The sequence below is a fragment of the Homo sapiens genome, chromosome 5, assembly GCF_000001405.40.
Source record: "Homo sapiens chromosome 5, GRCh38.p14 Primary Assembly".
NCBI classification, from domain to species: domain Eukaryota; kingdom Metazoa; phylum Chordata; class Mammalia; order Primates; family Hominidae; genus Homo; species Homo sapiens.
In genome coordinates this window covers 172,743,672-172,763,945 of record NC_000005.10, presented here as the reverse complement: position 1 = coordinate 172,763,945, position 20,274 = coordinate 172,743,672, and the positions used below count along the sequence as shown (strand labels likewise).

The 20,274-nt window shown below is 48.4% G+C and overlaps 1 long non-coding RNA gene and 1 pseudogene across 1 annotated transcript, besides 3 other annotated features; one reads left to right on the top strand and one right to left on the bottom strand.

Annotated features, from left to right (window-relative positions):
• LOC401218 (cyclin Q pseudogene) lies at positions 624-1,869 on the top strand (annotated as a pseudogene).
• LOC101928093 (uncharacterized) lies at positions 1,384-8,443 on the bottom strand. Its single transcript, NR_161233.1, has 4 exons — positions 8,247-8,443; positions 5,654-5,812; positions 4,793-4,855; positions 1,384-1,731 (listed from the first exon to the last, which is right to left on the bottom strand). It is a non-coding gene; the product is annotated as an uncharacterized LOC101928093 (long non-coding RNA).
• Positions 13,712-14,061: an enhancer, noted in NCBI's record as "heart enhancer 25". NCBI's record gives its function as "activates a minimal c-fos promoter by transgenic reporter assays in zebrafish embryonic heart {active_cell/tissue: heart(embryonic)}" and the evidence as "EXISTENCE:transgenic organism evidence [ECO:0001131][PMID:20075146]".
• Positions 19,113-19,612: an enhancer, noted in NCBI's record as "H3K4me1 hESC enhancer chr5:172171337-172171836 (GRCh37/hg19 assembly coordinates)". NCBI's record gives its function as "activates a minimal SCP1, AML or CMV promoter by ChIP-STARR-seq in naive H9 embryonic stem cells {active_cell/tissue: H9 hESC(naive)}" and the evidence as "EXISTENCE:reporter gene assay evidence [ECO:0000049][PMID:30033119]".
• Positions 19,613-20,114: an enhancer, noted in NCBI's record as "H3K4me1 hESC enhancer chr5:172170835-172171336 (GRCh37/hg19 assembly coordinates)". NCBI's record gives its function as "activates a minimal SCP1, AML or CMV promoter by ChIP-STARR-seq in naive H9 embryonic stem cells {active_cell/tissue: H9 hESC(naive)}" and the evidence as "EXISTENCE:reporter gene assay evidence [ECO:0000049][PMID:30033119]".

Genomic DNA, 20,274 nt, shown 5'->3' with positions numbered 1-20,274 from the left:
AAGAACCTGCGGTGAACCTCATCTATTCTCCTCTCCCACCCATCTGCCAGTGCTAAGTCCCTTCCATACCCAAACTTGGGAGGGTCCTGGAATCCCCAGGGTTCCTGAAGGCTGGTTCAGGGAGACAAAGTGGGAAGGAAATAGACACTTTCTGGGAAGAGGCAGTGAGGGATCCTGGACCTTCAGAAGGTCGGTTGGTGTTATGGAGATGTGACTGGTTCTTGCAGGGATGGGTTCCCCTACAAGGGCCGGGGGGGGACTGCATACTTCTGACCCCTGGGCCCTCCTTCCCTCCCAGCCTGCACAGCCCTCTGCAGTGGAGCACACTGCAAAGATGGGATTTAAAAGTTTCACCAAGATTGACACCAATCATTCACTCATCCAATAAACATATTTTAAGTACCCATGGTTTGTAAAACACTCAGTAGATGTGAAAATCATACCACCAAAGGAAATTTTGAGATTCTGTTCCAAATACCTGGGACAAAACTGATAGGTCCAACTAGTTAGTGTCTGTATGACTTTGAGTGGATTATTTCTCCTCTCAAACCCTCAGTTTTGACATCTCTAAAAAGGGAGTTGGACCCTCGTGTGGGGTGGGGCGGAGGAGTGGCGAGCACCCCCCCCCCGCTCTGCTGGCCTCTGCGCGCAAAGCAGCCTCTCCTTCCGCCGGGGCCGCCGGGCCTCATGGAAGCCCCGGAGGGCGGCGGAGGGGGGCCTGCAGCGCGGGGCCCCGAGGGGCAACCGGCGCCCGAAGCCAGGGTGCACTTCCGAGTGGCGAGGTTCATCATGGAGGCAGGTGTCAAGCTAGGGATGAGGTCCATTCCCATTGCCACTGCTTGCACCATTTACCATAAGTTCTTTTGCAATACCAACCTGGACGCTTATGACCCTTACCTGATTGCCGTGTCTTCCATTTACTTGGCCGGCAAAGCGGAAAAGCAGCACCTGCGGACTCATGACATCATCAATGTGTCCAACAGGTACTTTAACCCGAGCGGTGAGCCCCTGGAATTGGAATCCCGCTTCTGGGAGCTCCGGGACAGCATTGTGCAGTGTGAGCTTCTCATGCTGAGAGTTCTGCGCTTCCAGGTCTCCTTCCAGCTTCCACACAAGTACCTGCTCCACTACCTGGTTTCCCTCAAAAACTCTGAACCGCCACAGCTGGCAGCGGACCCCGGTTGCCGTCACTGCCTGGGCCCTGTTGCGGGACAGCTACCACGGGGGTCTGTGCCTCCGTTTCCAGGCCCAGCACATCGCGGTGGCGGTGCTCTACCTGGCCCTGCAGGTCTACGGAGTTGAGGTGCCCGCCGAGGTTAAGGCTGAGAAGCCGTGGTGGCAGGTGTTTGGTGAAGACCTTACCAAGCCAATCATTGATAATATTGTGTCTGATCTCATTCAGATTTATACCATGGACACAGAGATCCCCTAAGGTCCTGGCCCAGGCCTGTCCAAAGAGAAGCCCAGGATGGTCGGCTGCCTGGGGACATTGCCACCACGTCGCCATGACGGCTGGTCCTCAGAGGACCAGCTGGGAGGACTGGTTGTGCTGCTGGAGAAGGGCTGGAGAAGGCGATGGCATGCTGCCGCTTTGACAGTCCCTAGCAGTCGCGGTGCAGGTGATGGGAGCCGCGCCTCCAGCGGCCAGGTCGGGAGTGCACTGCGTGCAGCTGATCCAAGGCAGCCATATCTGCTTTTGTCCTTTGAGAGGACTCTGACTACAATAGAGGCCTGACATCAATGAAAGGAAAATCATGAAATCGATGAGACTGAATCCCTAGGGATTTTTTAAAAGCCAGATCTATAGCGAGAATGAATGTGCAACATGGCTGAAATCTATTTTGTGTAATAAAAGGTGATGCAAGTCAAAAAAATAAAATAAAATAAAATAAATAAAAAGGGAGTTAAAGTATTTACTTCATGGCCAGGTGCGGTGGCTCACACCTGTTAATCCCAGTACTTGGGGAGGCTGAGGCAGGCAGATCACCTGAGTTCAGGAGATCGAGACCAGCCCGACCAACATGGTGAAACCCTGTCTCCACCAAAAATACAAAATTAGCCAGGCATGGTGGCGCATGCCTGTAATCCCAGCTACTTGGGAGGCTGAGGCAGGAGAATCACTTAAACCTGGGAGGCGGAGGTTGCAGTGAGCCGAGATTGCGCCATTACACTCCAGCCTCGGCAACAAGAGTGAAACTCCATCTCCAAAAAAAAAAAAAAAAAAAAGTATTTGCTTCACTTCACATGGTAGCTGTCAAGATGAAATGAAATAGTATATATAAAATGTTTTGCACAGTGCCTGACACATAGTAAAGAATAAATGTTAGCTATTTTAACCATCATTGTCATTATCTTCATCATTATAAGGGAAATATGAAAAAAGGAAACAAACTCATATCTCTAGCCTAGACCTCTCCCCTAACTGCAGACTTGAATAGCCAGTAGCTTCCTTGACATTTCCATTTGTTTGTCAAATAGACTCTCAAATTTGGCAATTCCAAAAACAAACCTTTGCGTCACCCAAAACCAGCTCCTTCTGTAGTCTTCCCACCTTTGTTAATAGCAACTTCATTCTTCCATTAGTTCAGGTCAAAAACTTTGGAGACACCCTTGACTCCTCCCTTTCCCTCATAACCTATATTTAATTCAATGGCAAATTGAGACAGGTCCACTTTCAAACACATCCATTTCCCAAATATATCACTTCTCATCATTTCCAAAACTACTTCTCTGAGCTAGGCATGGTGACTCATGCCTGTAACCCTAGCACTTTAGGAGGCCGTGGCAGGAGGATCACTTGATGCCAGGAGTTTGAGACCAAACCTACCTCTCCGGTTCAGCCACCATCATATATTGCCTAAAGTGTTGCAGCCTCCAAGCTGGCTTCCTTGCCTCAGCACAGCCCCTCTATGTCTATTTTCAACCAGCAGGCAAAGCTATCCTTTTAGTGTTGCATTTAGGGCATTAGCTTCTGAGAACAAATTCTAGTTTCTAATTCCCTACAAATGTTTTTATCTTCATTATTGAAGATTTTTTTTTTTTTTTTTTTAGATGGAGTCTCTCTGTCACCCAGGCTGGAGTGCAGTGGTGTGATCTTGGCTCACTGCAACCTCCATCCCCCTGGATTCAAGCGATTCTCCTGCCTCAGGCTCCTGATTAGCTGGGATTACAGGTGTCTGCCACACTGCCCGGCTAATTTTTGTATTTTTAGTGGAGACAGGGGTTCACCATGTTGGCCAGGGTGGTCTCGAACTCCTGACCTCAGGTGATCCACCTGCCTTGGCCTCCCAAAGTGTTGGGATTACAGGCGTGAGCCACTGTGCCCGGCCTCATTATTGAAGAATTTTTCCTGGGTAAAGAATTCAAGTTTTGACCTTATTTAATCACTTTGAAGATACAATCCATTGTCTTCTGACTTGTTACGTCTGCTGAGAAGTCAGCTAACTGCCTTGTTGTCCCTCTGAGGGTGATCTGTCTTTTTTCTCTGCTTTAGGAATTTCTCTTTGTTTTTGACTTTTAGCAGTTTTATTTATAATATGCCTATAGTTTTTTTTTTCCTGTTTATATTGCTTGTGATTCATGGGGTTTTTGAATCTGTGGTTTGATGCCTTTCATTTGCCTTGGATAATTCTCAGTTATTATTTCTCCTTTCATTTGCCTTGGATAAATCTCAGTTATTATTTCTCCATTTATATACTTTAGCATATTAAACAGAATTAATGTGTGTAACCAATAACTATCTGGATCCTTGTGTTTATTTCTGTTGCCTATTTTTTCTCTTGATTTTTGATTATGTTTCATTTTCTCATATTTTTGGTTGTCAGGCATTGTATATGAAAAATTTTAGAGATCATTTGAAGCTTAAGATAATGTTATTTTCCATTTGTAGGAGGTGTCTAGGGGTGTTAGGAACCCCACATCACCTTAATCCAAGCAGAGATTGAGATGAGTTGAGATGACTTGAAGCTGGGCTTTAGATCCTGTTATGACTGGTTCATTCTTAGTCCATTGGTGTATCCCTTTGGAGTTTCAACTAAAAGCTTGGTGAATCTACCAGACCCTCCAGCCTGGATTTTTTTTTTTTTTTGGGTAATACTCCCAAAAGTATGGGGGTGTGCCAGGATCTCCCTTGGTGTGCCCTGAGCTTTAACTTTCATCCCATTAGATCCATGAGTCTTTTAAAAGTTCCACTCAACTTCTCAGCCTTTGATCCTTTTATTTCAGAATTGGCAGATACCCTTTGGGGAAAAGAGGTCCCAAGGGCTGTGTTCATCCCTCTGACCGACCTTCCTTCCTTCCTTCCTTCCCTTTCCTCCCTCTCTTCCTCCCTCCCTCCCTCCCTCCCTCCTTTCTTTCTCTCTCTCTCTTTCTCTCTTTCTTTCTTCTTTCTTTCTTTCATCTTGAGGCACAGTTTCACTCTTGTTGCCCAGGCTAGAGTGCAATGGTGCGATCTCGGCTCACTGCAACCTCCACCTCCCGGGTGCAAGCCATTCTCCTGCTTCAGCCTCCCGAGTAGCTAGGACTACAGGCATGCACCACTGCGCCCGGCTAATTTTGTATTTTTAGTACAGACAGGGTTTCTCCATGTTAGTCAGGCTGGTTTCGAACTCCTGAACTCAGGAGATCCACCCGCCTCGGCCTCCCAATGTGCTGGGATTACAGGTATGAGCTACTGGGCCCAGCTCATCCCTCTGACTTTTCTTTTCCCAGGTCTTGGTCCCAAAGTTCCTCACTGCCTTTTAGTGTCATAATGCCTTTAAACGAAAATATGTTAATATTTTGTCCAACTTACCTTGTCCTCACCAGTAGAATTGTTCTGAATTCCGTGCTCTGCCATGACTAGAAGGGAGTCGGGCTTTTAAAAATCCAGAGGGAAACTTTTAGCATATCAGATAATTTTTCTCCTCTATTCAAACCCTCTCATGGCTCCCATCTCACTCAGGCTAAAAGACACATCCTAACAAAGGCTACAAGACCTGATACTATCTTGCTGCACATCTCTGACCGCATCTTTGCCACTCTCCTCCCTCATTCGTCTCTTCTAGCCAGCCTGGCCTCATTGCTTTATCTAGCGCTGGCAACGTTCACTCCTGCACTGGGCCCCATGCTCTTCTTTCTGCCTGGACCTTGGCCATCCTGCCCTTAGAACAGTGCTTGGCGTGCAGGGGAGTGCTCAATGAATGTGATGGATAAGTGAAAGATCTTTGCAGGCTGCGGACAATTCCCTTCCCTCCTGGGTGGGTCCTGGGTCCAAGCTAGGCGGAAGTGATTCTTTGCTGCTCGACCAGCCTCTTTCCCTTCCTCATGAAGCAGTTTCCCTTGGAGACCTTCCCATAACACACAGTGGTGTGCAGATGAAATAAAGTGTGTGAAAGCGCTTTGTAAGCAGGAAGCCACACGAGGGTCCTGGCTATTCAAGACCGGGGCCATCCTGGGGCTCAGCTTCTGGGGTCAGGGCTTTGGGTCTAGAAAGATAATGGGAAAATCTACTTCGGGGACTCCACTCTGAGCCCTGTCCTCCTACCACTTCCCCCATATTTCCTCCCTCCCGTCCGAAGGAGAATTCCCCATGGCGTGTGCCTCCAACGAAGAGAAGAGGGCAGTGAGTGATTCATGGGGAAATCTGTAGGGCTGCTCGGGGCTTATGACTCACAGCTTCTCCTCCAATAGGAAGATTCAACATCTATGCTGAGTCTCCTGGAAATCTCTTTCGTCAAGGCCTCTAGTGACCGCTGGGGATTCTTCTCGGGACTCCCGCAGAGCTCTCAACAGCCACCTTCCTGGCACTTGTCACTGCGTAGTTGTGTGTCTCCTGCCCAATAAATACATACGGAAAGGAAGAAGGAAGACAGGCAAGGATGGAGGGAGGCAGGGGAGAGGGTCTTGGCCTCCCTCACCTGACTGTGAGCCACCTGAGGGCAAGATTGTGCCTTTTTCATTTCTGTGTCCCCAGCCCCCACTGCAGGGCTAGGCACATTGTTGAGGAAGTGAATGATTGAATACATGAAGGAACACTTTGTGGGCGAGGGACCTCCTTCTAGGATATGACCAGCCTGGAAGAGCCTCAAGGCAGTGGCAGCGTTTGGGGTCCTGCTGTGGGTGTTGCTAGGGAGGCTTTGGAAGACAGTTCTGGTGGAGACACATGCTCTAGCTCCCGCCCACAGTTCAGTCAGGGAACCAACCATACTGAGCTATTAGTAGTGCCGGGCCCTGCATGGGACGCTGGGTGCACAGGGATGGGAGAGACACGGTTTCTGACCTCAGGCTCTCCTGGCAAGTGGTGGAGACTGATGCATTGGCCCATGATTTTGCCACAGTGATCTGGGGGCTGTAGGTGAGGTGCGGGCAGAGCAAGGGGGTGGAGAAATGCAGGGAAGAGTGGGCAGAGGAGAGAACAATACAGGAAGGCTTCCTGGAAGAGGTGACCCTTGAGCCCTAGAAGGCTGAGCACGTGGCACAGGAAGGACTCCCATCTCAAGTGTCGAGGGATGACCTGATGCCAATTTATTGCTGTTCCATAGATTTTATAAGAGGAATAAAGGCCTCAGGACTTGTTCCAGGCCCAACCTTCTTCCCTAGAACTGAATTCCCAAGAGCCCTCATGAGGGTCCCTGCCCTTATGCTGCTATTTTACGCAAAAAGGATCAGAGCCCCGTGTCCCCTGCGGTGGGTGTTTCAGAGTGTGGGCACCGGGCTGCTCTGAAGCCAAGGAAATGACCAGCCGGGAAGAAGGACTGGAAAGCACTAGCCTGTCCGCTGGCCCCAGCTTCCCTCAATGTCATCATCGGATGAGCAGTTTAGGCTGTTCTCCCTTCACCATGAGCCAGAGGAAGGGTCTGTTGTAGGTTTCACTGGCCACTCTCCTTCGTCGTGTCCTCATCATCATCAATGACTTAAGACTTTCTGAGCCATAGCCAAAGACTTCAGGCAGCAGCTTTGTGTTCTAGCCCCAAGTGTAGCATTTCCTTGCTGTGTGACTCTCAGCAAGTTACATCACCTCTCTGGGCTTCAGATTCCTACTTATCTGCTTTATTTTTTGAGACAGGTCTCACCCAGTATTTGCTTTACATATGTGACTGATTTAGTACATCCATCTAGCCTGCTTGGTGGGCTTATTATTATTGCCACGTTTAGCAAACCATTGATAGAGTTTGGATGTTTTGTCCCCTCCAAATCTCACCTTGAAATGTGACCTCCAGTATTGGAGGTGGGGACTAGTGGGAGGTGTTTGGGCCATGGGGGTGGGTTCGTCCCTCATGAATGGCTTGGTGCTGTCCTCGGGGTAATGAGTGAGTTCTTTTTTTTTTTTTTGAGACAGAGTCTCGCTCTGTCACCCAGGCTGGACAGTGCAATGGCTTGATCTCGGCTCACTGCAAACTCCGCCTACTGGGTTCAAGTGATTCTCCTGCCCCAGCCTCCTGAGTAGCTGGGATTACAGGCACCCACCACCACATCGGGCTAATTTTTGTATTTTTAGTAGAGACAGGGTTTCACCATGTTGGCCAAGCTGGTCTTGAACTCCTAACCTCAAGTGATCCGCCTGCCTCGGCCTCCCAAAGTGCTGGGATTACAGGCATGAGCCACTGTGCCCAGCCAAGTGAGTTCTGACTACGAGTTCACGTGTGATCTGGCTGTTTATTTATTTATTTATATATTTTTTAAGATGGAGTCTCACTCTATTGCCCAGGCTGGAGTGCAGTGGCATGATCTCGGCTCACTGCAATCTCTGCCTCCTGGGTTCTAGCAATTCTCCTGCCTCAGCCTCTCCAGTAGCTGGGATTATAGGCAACTGCCACCATGCCAGGCTAATTTTTGTATATTTAGTACCGACGGGATTTCACCATGTTGGCCAGGCTGGTCTTGAACTCCTGACCCCAAGTGATCTGCCTGCCTTGGCCTCCTTAAGTGCTGGGATTATAGGTATGAGCCACTGCACCTGCCGAGATCTGGCTATTTAAAAGAGCCTGGCCCTTCCTCCCTCTCCCTCTTGTACCCTCTCACCATTTGATACACAGGCTCCTTCCTTTAGCTTCCACCATGACTAGAAGCTTCCAGAGGACTCACCAGAAGCTGAGCAGATGCTGGCACCATGCTGCCTGTACAGCCTGCAGAGCTGTGGGCCAAATAAACCTCTTTTCTTTATAAATTACCCAGTCTTGGGTATCCCTTTATAGCAATGCAAAACAAACTAATACACCATGTCACCTGGAGGGAGTAGCTGAGGCCTGGAGAAGGAGAGGACTTACCCACAGCTCAGGTTTAACACAGTGTGTGGTCCAAGACCTAAGCCTGGCAGGGCCTTCCACTGTACCAGGCAAGACAAGGGTGAATCCCACCCTCACTCAGGGGCCTAACATCCCCTTTAAGGTTGGGGAAAGTAGGAAGTACCAAGGATGGCACTAAATGAGAAGCTCCCCCAAGGACTCCTAGAATAAAGGTTCATGTGTCCTGTGTCCTCAGCACTTGATAGACCACTTACAGACCATTGTGACAGACCATTGTGATGCTGACTATGTAGAGATTCACAGACCACTGTGACACTGACTATGTAGAGCAGAAAGGCTGGTTGTTCCCCAGGCTCTAGTCTTCCTTAGTAATAGGCTTTTGGCCAGGTATATGTCCACATTCCCCAGCCTCTCTTACAGCCAGACATAGCTGTTTGAATGTCAAACCTAATGTGTGTGCAACTTCCAGGGAGTGTCCTTAAAGAGAGGGCTGATACATTTCTTCCCTGTTTTGTCCTTCCTGTGGTCTGGAATACAGAGTGATGGCTGGAGCTGAGGCAGCCATTTTTAGCCATGAAGTGATGTCGGGAATGACGGCAGAGCAGAAAGACAGAGGGAGTCTCCTTCCCTTAGGACTGTTGAGGGGCAATTCTCCATGGCATTCTTATACCTCTTGTGACACCTTTTGCGTGGAACCATCTTTTCAGGATGTTTATATGACAAATAGCCTGGGGGAGCAGGAATAGTGTCTCACTCTGGAGCAGAGGACAGATTTATTTCCTGACCAGGATTATAAAGATAATGCCTTTCTCCAGGTTGAATGTTGACCGGGTTCGTTAGCAGCCTCTTATGCTTATAAGATTAGGAGTTTCCTAAGCTCAGTATATCTCAGCTCTGACATGAGCCCTGTGTGCACAGGATCCACCTGGGCCTCCTGCTCCAGCCCCATGGAACTTAGGAGGCAAGTAAACCAGAGCAAAGATAAAGCTTGAGCTGCCTACTGTGTTGTGAGTAATAAAGTCCTTTGTCTCTGACCTAAGAGTCCTGAGTCTTCTGCTGGCATCTGTGCAATTGTGGTAAGCTCGTTGTTAGTTTGCAAGTAGGAGAAAAGAAATCTCAGACCCTTCATATGTCTGACAAGGACTTCATGGAGCAGAGCACTATCATTAGCTCTGGTGCACTTTTTAAAGTTTTCCTTTTTCTAACTTCATTGAGATAATATTTATTTTAATAACTATATCTCACTTAAGCTTACAATTTAATATATTCTGACAGATTTATACAGTTTTGTATATTTTTAAATTTCAACAATTGTTTGCAGACTGTATTATACCTACCAATACATTCAAGATATGGAACATATCCGTGGTCAAAAATTCCTTTGTGCTCCTTCCCAATCAGTCCGTAACCTCCCCACCTTAGCCAACTAGCATTATGCTTTCTGTCACTGTAGACTAAAGTTGTGATTTCTAGAGTTTTCTATAAGTGGAATTATATAGTATTCCTTTATTGTGTCTATTTCAATTAGCATGCTTTTTGAGATTAATCCATGTTTTCGTGTGCATCATTGGCTCTTTTTAAAAAAATTTTTTCAATGGACTCCATTTCTTAGAGCAGTTTTAGGCTCATGGCAAAATTGAGCAGAAGGTACAGAGATTTCGCATATACTCCCGTCCTCACATACACATAGACTTCTCCACTGTCAACATTCCCCACCAGAGCGAGTGGTGCATTTGTTACAGTCTGTTAACGACACTGACACATCAGTATCACCCAAAGTCCATAGTTTACATTAGGATTCGCCCTTGGTATTGGACATTCTGTGGGTTTGGACAAATGTCTAGTGATAGGTATCCCCAATTGTAGTATCGTACAGAGGAGTTTCACTGCCTTCAAAATCCTCTATACTCTGCGTATTCAGCCCTCCCTCCCCATAACTCCTGGCAACCACTGATCTTTTCACTGTCTCCGTAGTTTTGCCTTTTTCAGAATGTCATATGGTATGTAGCCTTTTCAGATCAATGTGTTTCACTTAGTAATATGCATTTGAGATTCATCCATGTCTCTTCTATGGCTTTGATAGCTCATTTCTTTTTAACACAGAATAATATTTCATTCTCTGGATGTATTACAGTTTATTCACTTACCTGCTGAAGGACATCATGCTTGCTTCCAAGTTTTGGCAATTGTGAGTTTGGATGCTATAAACATCCACATGCAGGTTTTTGTGTGGAAATATTTTCAATTCCTTTAGGTAAATGCCAAGGAGCACAATTGCTAGGTTGCATGGCAAGAGTATGTTTAGTTTTGTAAGAAGCTGTCAAACTGTCTTCCAAAGTGGCTGTAGCATTTTTCATTTTCACCAGCCCTGGATGAGACTTCCTATTGCCCCACATCCTCTCCAGCATTTGGTGGCATCCGAGTTTTGGATTTTGGCCATTTAACTAGGTGTGTAGTGGTGTCTCACTGTTGCTTTAATTTGAATTTCTCTGATGACACATGATGCTGAGCATTTTTTCACAGGCTCGCTTGCCATCTGTGTATCTTGTTTGTAAGGTATCTAAGGTATCTTTTATTCATTTTTAAAGTGGGTTGTTTCCATACTGTTGAATTTTAAGAGCTCTATGTGTATTTTGGATGACAGCTCTTTATCAGATATATCTTTTGCAAATATTTTCTCCCAACCTGAGGCTTGTCTTCTCATTCTCTTAAATCTGGTGGGCTTTTTGTGTGTGTGAGCAAACTATATTTTTATCTTTCTGTGTTGTTTAAGCTACTGTAATGCTGGGCTTTTATTGGAAATGAACCTAATTCTAATACATGAAGTCATATTTCTGCTTAGAACCTTCCAGTGGCTTACCATCTTATCCAGGATAAAGCCCAACTCTTTCTGTGTCCTCCATAGGCCCAGCTAGTCTGGGTCCCTGGCAGAGTGGTTAAGAGCAAGGCCTGTGGTTGAAATTCTAGTGGTGTTGCTTCCGACGTCTGTGACCTTGGGTGTTATTTAACTTCTCAGTGTCTCAGGTTCTTCACCTGTAAAATGGATTAGTAATAGAATATAGCTCATCAGGTTGTGGAGAGAGCCAAATGAGTTACTGTAGTAAGCACAGGGTCAGGCACATGGCAAGCCCTCACTATGTATCACTACGGCATAGTGTCCCTTCCACTGACCACTGCAAACAACACGTGGGTTTTCTTTCATTTCTTCAAGAAACTGAGCTTATTCCCACTGCAGAGCATTTGCACCTTTCCCTCTGCCTGGAACTCTAACCCCTCCACCCAACAAACGCACACCACACATGCTCACATACACGCTCAAATACATGCACTCACACATGCTCACGCTCACACATGCTCACACCCACCCACACATTCCCGAACACTAACACACACACACACGCTCACAAGCAACCACACACACTCACGCACCCACACACACATAATATTCACACTCAAATATGTTTGCTCACACAATACCCATTCCCATACACACTCACGTGTAGTCACACGCATGCACACTCACACCCAACATATTCCCACCCCTCTCCACACCCTTTTGTGAGGCTGGCTTCTCCCCCTGCTCAGAGGGTCTTATCGATTGCATTACCTCCTGTGGCCTACGTTGCTCTGTCTGGGCACCCATTCCTTGGTTAATAGCACCCTCAGCCATGGCTGTCCCATGCAGCCTGCATTCCCTGAGCACGCGATGCCCCAGGCACTGCTCCAGCTTCTGTTAAAGGGTGACTGTGGCTTAGTGTTATCTTCCTGACGGCCCTGTAGGCACTGGTAGGGCAGGGACCTTGGCGGTCTTGTTCACAGCTGTTTCTCCCAGCACCAGCCCAGGCCTAGAACATAGCAGGTGCTCAAGAAATGTGTTTTGGAATAAATGGATGAGTGAATGAACAGGACCATGGACTGTCTGCACAGGAAGGTGCCCTGTGTACACCACCTGCCAGTGGGAGCTGAAGTGTAGTGAAGGGAAAGTTCCCGGCACAGGTCAGAATGTGGGTGGGAGGGTCCTGACGGGAACCCCACTTCCTGCCTTGCTGCTGGGGTCTTGTCAGACCCTGGCAGGCAGTTCTTCTTTCTCTGCTTTTCCGCAGGGCAAGGATGTGGCCTCCACATTTTTGCGGGCTAGTTCCAGTATAGACCTCTTCTTCTTCCTCTTCTGTTTCCCCTTCAGAGAGCAGGCAGGCAGCCTGGGGCTGAATCTAGGTAGAAGCACCAGCAAATGCTTCTGCTCCTGTGTGTAGCAATGACCTCCAGGTGTCTTGGCCTCCTAGCCCTGGCCCCTCACCCTGGGCAGGGCACCTTCCCACCTTCTCCCTCCTAGACCGGGCTGTGAGGGTCAAGCTGCAAGGCTGGGCTGAGGATCTGGAGCCCCCTGGGTGCTCCCCAGGGATTTTCTCTTTTCTTTTCTTTCTTTCCTTTCTTTCCTTCCTTCCTTCCTTCCTTTCTTTCTTTCCTTCCTTCCTTCCTTTCTTTCCTTCTTTCTCTCTTTCTTCCCTCCCTCCCTCCTTTCTTTCTTTCTTTTCTTTCTCTTTCTTTCTTGCTTTCTTTCCTTCCTTTTCTTTCTTTCTTTTTCTTTCTGTTTCTTTCTTTCTCTTTCCTCCCTCCCTCCCTCCTTTCTTTTCTTTTCTTTCCTTCCTTCCTTCCTTTCTTTTTTGAAGCAGAGTCTTGCTCTGTTGCCCAGGCTGTAGTGCAGTGGCATGATCTCGGCTCACTGCAACCTCTGCCTCCCGGGTTCAAGTGATTCTCCTGCCTCAGCCTCCTGAGTAGCTGGGATTACAGGCGCCTGCCACCACGCCCAGCTAATTTTTGTGTTTTTAGTAGAGACGGGGTTTCACTGTGTTAGCCAGGCTAGTCTCGAACTCCTGACTTCAGGTGATTCACCTGCCTTGGCCTCCCAAAGTGTTGGGATTACAAACGTGAGCCACCGCACCTGGCCAGATCCTCCTTCTTTATTGGCCTTGGATTCTCGTTGACTTGATAGGAGGCAGGTAGAGGACAGATGTCAGATCGGGGGAGAAGCAGACAGTTTGAAAATATTTTGAGAATGTGTATTCAAACTTCTTGTTTTCTTGTTCTCAAGCTCCAGGTCCCAATAGAAAAATGCAAATTTAACAAAAATCTTCCTGGGACGGAGTGGGAGTTGCGGAGGAATAGATGCAAAGATAGGAAAGTTTGGAACCACTGTGTTAGGAATGCAGAGGACAGCTTGACATTTATATAGTGAAAATGATATGCTAGCCATGAGCGCATGTGTGTGGCTGTTTTGGGTGTGTTGAAGTGTATAGAAGGCAGAGAGGGTGTGGCTGTGTGTTCCCGTTTGTAGAGACACCCGTGAGGCTGTGGGTGATTGTCCAGGTGTGGACGCGTGTGATGGTGCTGTGCTTGCCTGAGTCAAGGACATAAGCATGCCAGTGGGTGGAGGAGGGGATGTCTCTGGGTGGGCGGCCCGGGTGGTCCTGGCCTGATAGGCGGTTTGAGGAAGCTGAGTGGGAGCTGACCTCCTCTGCGCCCTTGATCAGCCAGACCAGCAGAGCTCTTGGTCATTTAAGGCGCTGGCCCAGGCGGGCAGCTCATTAGGCCGTCTGGAGTCGAGATGGCGCAGGCCTTCCGGGGGGCAATGAAAGCTATTTTTAGTGGCCTGGGCTAACTCCCAAATCCTACTGACTATTTCTGGCACCAAAAGATTGCCCTGAAGGATGTGGAAAATTTTCATGTCAAGAATGTCTGGTTTCCCTTTGGCTAAGCAAGGGTGGAGCAGGGAGAGCAGGACAAAGGGCTCGAGGCCCAAGGAATTCTGGGAAAATCTCGATAGTGAGAGCATGAATGGCCATTGTCCTGCCCTTTGGAGAGGAGCATGGACTTTTAAAAACAGCTTCGTTACTCAGGAGGCTGAGGCGGGAGAATCGCTTGAACCCGGGAGATGGAGGTTGCAGTGAGCCGAGATCATAACACCACATTCCAGCATGGGCAACAGAGTGAGACTCCGTCTCAAAAACAAAACAAAATAAAAACAAACAAAAAAACCAACAGCTTTGTTATGGGTGACCATCTGTCTTGGTTTGCCAGGGACTGTCTTGGTTTTAGCATGGAAATTCCGGCATGCAGGGCTTTCGGCTCCAGCAGACTGGGACAGTTGGTCACTCCGGCTCCATTTCACAGCTTTTTAAGTTCTAGAAGCTAAATTATAGCAATAGCTTGAACTACGTGTATCATTTTCTAGAATGTTCACAATAACTCTATCAGTACGGACTGTTATCATATCCATTTTACACATAAGAAACTGAGGCACAGAGAAATGCTGCAACTTGCCTTTGCCTGGCCGCTATCTGAGTGATGAAGCCAGGATTTAAGTTCTGCTGTGATGGTGTCAGAGTCCACCATTGTGCTGTGTGGAGAAATAATATCTTTGGACCCAGGAAAACCTGGATTCAGTTACTTCCTAGAAAGACACTGTATTTGGCCAGGTTGTCAGGAGGATGAAAGGAGAAAAGCAGGTGCTTAGGAGGTATTGGCTCTCTCTCTGTCTCTCCACGGTCTTGTTCTGTCACCCGGGCTGGAGTGCAGCGGTGCGATCATGGCTCACTGCAGCCTCGGGTTCCCTGTCTCAAGTGATCCTCCCACCTCAGCCTCCAAAGGAGCTGGGACTACACGCTTGCGCCACCATAACAGGTACATTTTTGTATTTTTGTAGTGACAAAGTTTCGCCATGTTGGCCAGGCTGGTCTCGAACTTCTGGGCTCAAGAGATCTGCCCGCCTCGGCCTCCCAAAGAACTGGGATTACAGGAATGAGCTCCCGCACCCGGCCTCTGCGCTCCACTTTTCTTAGCCGTAGAATGGGCTGATGCGCGCATCCTCGCAGGGCTCCCGGAAGGGAGGGTTCGGGATATCAAGCGGGATCTGCTCATCTGACTTCTCCATCCAAGTCTCTCTCTCCCTAAGCAAGTCGGGCCCGGATCGCCAGTGAGCCTGTGCGCTGGGAGCCGAGGTGCGGACGTGCGTGCTGCCCGCCGGGGCATGAATGGAATGCGTTTGGCCCCAAGAGACGCGCTGTTCCTTCCGCAGGCCGCGCGTCAGCGACGGAGCAGGAAGGGCCGGGGCCTCCTCGCGTTCCCAGCGGCCCCCTTCGGGCTGGGAAAGTGGCTGAACAATAGGGCTGCCCGGCTGGCTGCCGGGGCTGCTGGGAGGCACTGATGCCCGGTGTGTGTGTGTGTGTTTGTGCGCGCGCGCACGATCCTTAGGGTGGGAGGGCCGTAGAGCCCTATGCTTCCTGACTGGGAAAAAGGAGGACTTCTTACTGGGTTTCCCCAAGTGTCAGGCCCTTCTGCCTTATCTCATTTGGTACCCACAGCCACCCTGGGAGGGAGGTATTAGCATTCTTATCTGCAGACCGGGCCACAGAGGTGAACTGGATTTGTGTCTTGCTTAGAATTTGTGCATTGCTTAGAGAGGGTCCTACGGGCATTGGCCGTCTTTCAACAGTGGGTTTGGGACTGAGGCTGGGGCCAGGGAAGAGGCTGGAAAACCTTGTGAGGTGCCCTGGAAAGCATGCATATGCACACAGCATTTGCTAAGAGGATGAGCTCTCCCCAGATACCAGGATAAAGCTGTGAGGTCACCAGCACCTCCAGTTTACACCTGTGTAGACCGGCTCAGAGGAACCTGCCCACTCCCACTGCAAGTTCATATTCACTTTGCCAAAAGGATTTAAATAATTAATTCTGCACTTTCTGTATAAATGGCACCTCCAGGTAATCAAAAGGTTGATGAGTGGAAGTTTCTATTTCTGCTTAAAAATGTAGAAGGGATGATAGACGAGAAAGTCATCGTTCCACTCCTGATGGGGTAATGGAACCAGGCATCGGGCAACTACAGCTGCTCACATCACAAAGAGACAGACAAGCAGGTAGTATGAGCCTGTGGGTGGCAGAACGTGGCACCGCCCATGGAACAGTCTTGCCCAAAACTCTAACCTGAATCTGAACAAGTCCCTAGATTCAACCAGGTTACAGAAGCTACAGGGGACAGAGGAACATGTTAAGTAGCACCACAGGGATGTAGTCAGCATACTTCAGATGTGGGACATTCTATAGATAAACAGCTGGTCTCTTCTACAAATAAAATGCAAGAAAAAAGACAGACAAATAAGAACTAAACAAGTAAATAAATAAATACAGGGAGGGGGAATCTGTAGAGTAAAGCAGATTAGGAGACATGCCAACCAGTCACCATGTCTGGATCTCATTAGGACTCTGATCTAAACAAACTGTGAAGCAAACTCACCAATCAAACAAATGAAAAACATTATGAAATAATCAGGAAATTCAAATAGATCCCTAAGAACCACCTGTCTGGGGCCTAGTGATCTGTTTTGAACTGATGCTCCCAGATGGCATTCTTAGGATCAGGCAGCTTTGAGACTTTGGGTAAAATGCGAACTGCCCCCCAGGCAGTGATAGCTGCCTGTCTCCTGCTCCTTGGAGCTCCTGGAGGATAGGTACTTGCTGAAAAAGTCAGTTTGTGGGAGGAGAAAGGTAGAAGGGAGAGACTGTTTTCTCTTTTCTGTTATCTACCCTCAGGGTCACCTTTTTTTTTTTTTAGTACCTGTGTCTTATAGGTAGCCAGGGTCTGGCCTTTTTATGCTGTCTGCCCAGAACCCAGTGTTTAAAATTAGGCCCCCTGAGCCAGGGGCTGCTGTAATCCTGCTCCCTGGGAAACGATGTAAACAACAAGCTTCTGTTATTGGGACATGAAGCGTGTGCTTGAATCTGGAGTGGCTCAGGATGGCTGATGTCTCATTCCCTCTGAGGACAAACATGCCTTGGTTGGTTTGGCCCCACTGAAATGCAATGTTCTGCCCAGGCCCACAGCCCTGGGTGCTGGGACTCAGGAATGGGTCTCTGATGTGCAGCCTGCATTTCTTCTTGAGACGGTCTTTTCATTTCAAAGATGGAGATATGGAGTCCCTATGAGTCCCACCCAAGGTCAAACAGCAAGTTATTATTATTTCAGACATATGGGCCTTACAAAATCCTTATTTAAAATGGTTTGCTTTCATTTTTACAGATTAAATCACATCCATAGCAAAATACTTAAAACTACTCAAGGGTCTGATCTGTGACAAGTGACTTCTTTCCAAGCCTACCCTCAGTCACCTCATTCTCTATTCCAGAAACTGATGTTATCAGTTTCTTGCATGTTCTTCCAGAGATGGTCTGTCCAGGCTTTCTCAGGGGGCTTCCACAAGAGAACTAGGTCTCAATGCCCCACGGCATCTGTGGTGTGTAAGGAATTAACTTCTCTCCTCTACATCCCTATGGTTCCAGGTCTGCGCCATCCTTGGGTAAACTGAGCATTAGTCCCTCATGCCATTTTTCTCTGTTCTGTGGTTAGACCCTGACCCCCAGCTGCTCAATGCAACAAATTATCCCATACCTTTCTTTTTCTCTTACATTATCTGGGAGATGACTTACTGTGAGTATGTGGAGAGCTGTCTCTTTGTTACGACTGTCTGGTACCCACTGCATGCATGCATGTAATTCATTGATCTGTTTCTTCTAATGGGCACGGAGGTTGTTTCCAGTCTTTGGCTTCTATTCACGATACTTCAGTGCACATTCTCTTGCACATATATGAGATCACCAGTGAGATAAATTCCTGGAGGAATAGGACCTTACTAATTCATGTCAGAACTGGACCTAGTGCCAAAGCTTATAGAAGCAAGGACAAAAAAGGTATTGCAGCCAGTCTAGGAAGAGCCTGGCTTAGGATATCTCATTTGCATCCTAGACATGCAAACAATCTGGAAGTTAGGGGAGAAGAGCAGGAATTCCAGATGTTCAAGGAGGGGAATGAACACTTATTGTGGGCCTGCTACATGTTAGACATTTTCTATTGACTTATATAACTCTAGCAGAAGCTCTGTGAGGTGGGTGCCTGTTCCCGTTTTACGACAGAAGTTCAGAGAGGTTAAGTCATTTGTCTGGGAGCACACAGTGGGGAAGTGGCAAAACTGGGATTTGAACCCAAGTGAGTCTGAATGCAATGCCTGTGCCCCTTTTGCTCCACCACCTGATGAGTTGCAAATATTTCCAGAATGGCCAAGGGTCAGGGCTGGCGCGTTGCCCATCTCCAGACAGTGTAATTCACATCACTGCCTGTGTGCTCAGCACCCCAAGGCATTGCGCAGTGCACACTCTATGAGGTTGCACATGGCAACCCCATCAGCGTGCCACACTCTGCTCTCAACAACAACAAAAATCAATAAACAAAATCGCAGCTCTTAAAAGCATGCAACGGCAAAGTAGTTGATTTATGAATTCTCTTATTTGTTCATTAAGAAGTTATTAGTAGGCTAGGTGCGGAGGCTCACGCCTGTAATCCCAGCACTTTGGGAGGCTGAGGCAGGCAGATCACGAGGTCAGGAGATCGAGACCATCCTGGCTAACACAGTGAAACCCCGTCTCTACTAAAAACACAAAAAATTAGCTGGGTGTGGTGGCGGGTGCCTGTAGTCCCAGCTACTCGGGAGGCTGAGGCAGAAGAACGGCATGAACTCGGGAGGCGGAGCTTGCAGTGAGCCAAGATCGCGTTACTGCACTCCAGCCTGGGCGACAGAGTGAGACTCAAAAAAAAAAAAAAAAAAAAAAAGAAGTTATTAGTAGACACAATGAGGATCAAAGTTGAAAGTCTGTTCTCTCTTCGGTCATTGTGATTTCAAGATACCCTATGATCAAAAAGGATGATAAGACTGACTCTGTTGGGCAAGGCTTCTTGGAGGAGGCAATTGGGCTGGGCCCTGAAGGATGAGTAGGAGTTTGGCAGATGGGAGAGGAGTGAATAGAGGAGTGAGGGTTAAGGAAGAGCATTTCAGGTGTGGAGGATAGCCCGCAGAAGGCACAGGGTGTACAGTAAGCAGAGTCATTGGGGACTGCAAGCGGTTCACTGTGACGTGGGTGGAAGGAGTGAGGGAGGAAATTAGGGGTGGGGCTGGTGGCCAGAAAGGCAGGTCGGGGGGGGCCCTTGGAGGGACTCAGACCACACAGACACATGCACTTGCGTGTGCAGGAGACAAAGAAGGAATCCTGGAGCCCCTACCAATCCTGATCCTGACTGTGTGACCTTGGACAAGGCCTCTTTGTCTGCACAGTAGGTGATAAAATGGGCTGTGATAAGATCCAGCAAAGGTGTCCTTGGCTGGAATCGTGTGTGCAGAGGCTGGAGCACACAGGTCACTCAGTTGTCCTCAGCAATGTGTATGCATCTCATTTGCCATGACCTGCCCACCTGGGAACTCCCGGGTGTGGAGAGTGGCATGGTGGGGCCAGGGGAAGGACAGGCTGGGGCTGGATTAGCTGGTCTGGCTTAGCTGGTCTGGCTTCTGCTGGGCTGGGCATGCAGGCTGCTGGGAGTCTCCTTCCCACCCTCCCTGGGTGGCTCAGCTCGCTACACACTGCAGTGGGGGTGGGGTGGGGACAAGAACGAGGAAGCCTGGCATTGAGTGCCTACCGTGAGCCAGGCCTGTGCCCAGCCCTTTATTCACTTGTCTTGTTTAACTCTCAGCAAATCAAGTACCTCATCCCCATGTCACAGATGAGGAAAATATGGACCCAGTTTGCACAGGGTAAAAGGTTTCACGCCATGGCCATCTACTCTGGAGTCTGAGTTCTTTCTATTCATCTTTGAATCAGCAGTTTCTTTATCTCCACTCAGGCTCAGGAGAAAATGGAGGCAGGGGCGTGCGTTCACAGCCCCCCTCGATTTAGGCACCTTCCAAGCTTGGGGTAAAGGTAGGACCTGGGAGTATCGCCATCAACCTCTTGCACTTTATGCTCTAGTAGTTTCCTACTTCAGGCCTCCATACCTTTGCATATGCTGTTCCCTGTGCCTGGAATGTTCTCATTCCTCTCTGTCTGCCTGGCAAACTCCTATTCATCCATTAAAACCCAAATTAACCAGCACCTTTTCCTAGAAGCTGTCCATGACTTTGCCCTAGGCAGCAGCATTCCCTCCTTCCTCTGGACCACCTGTGCCCCTTGT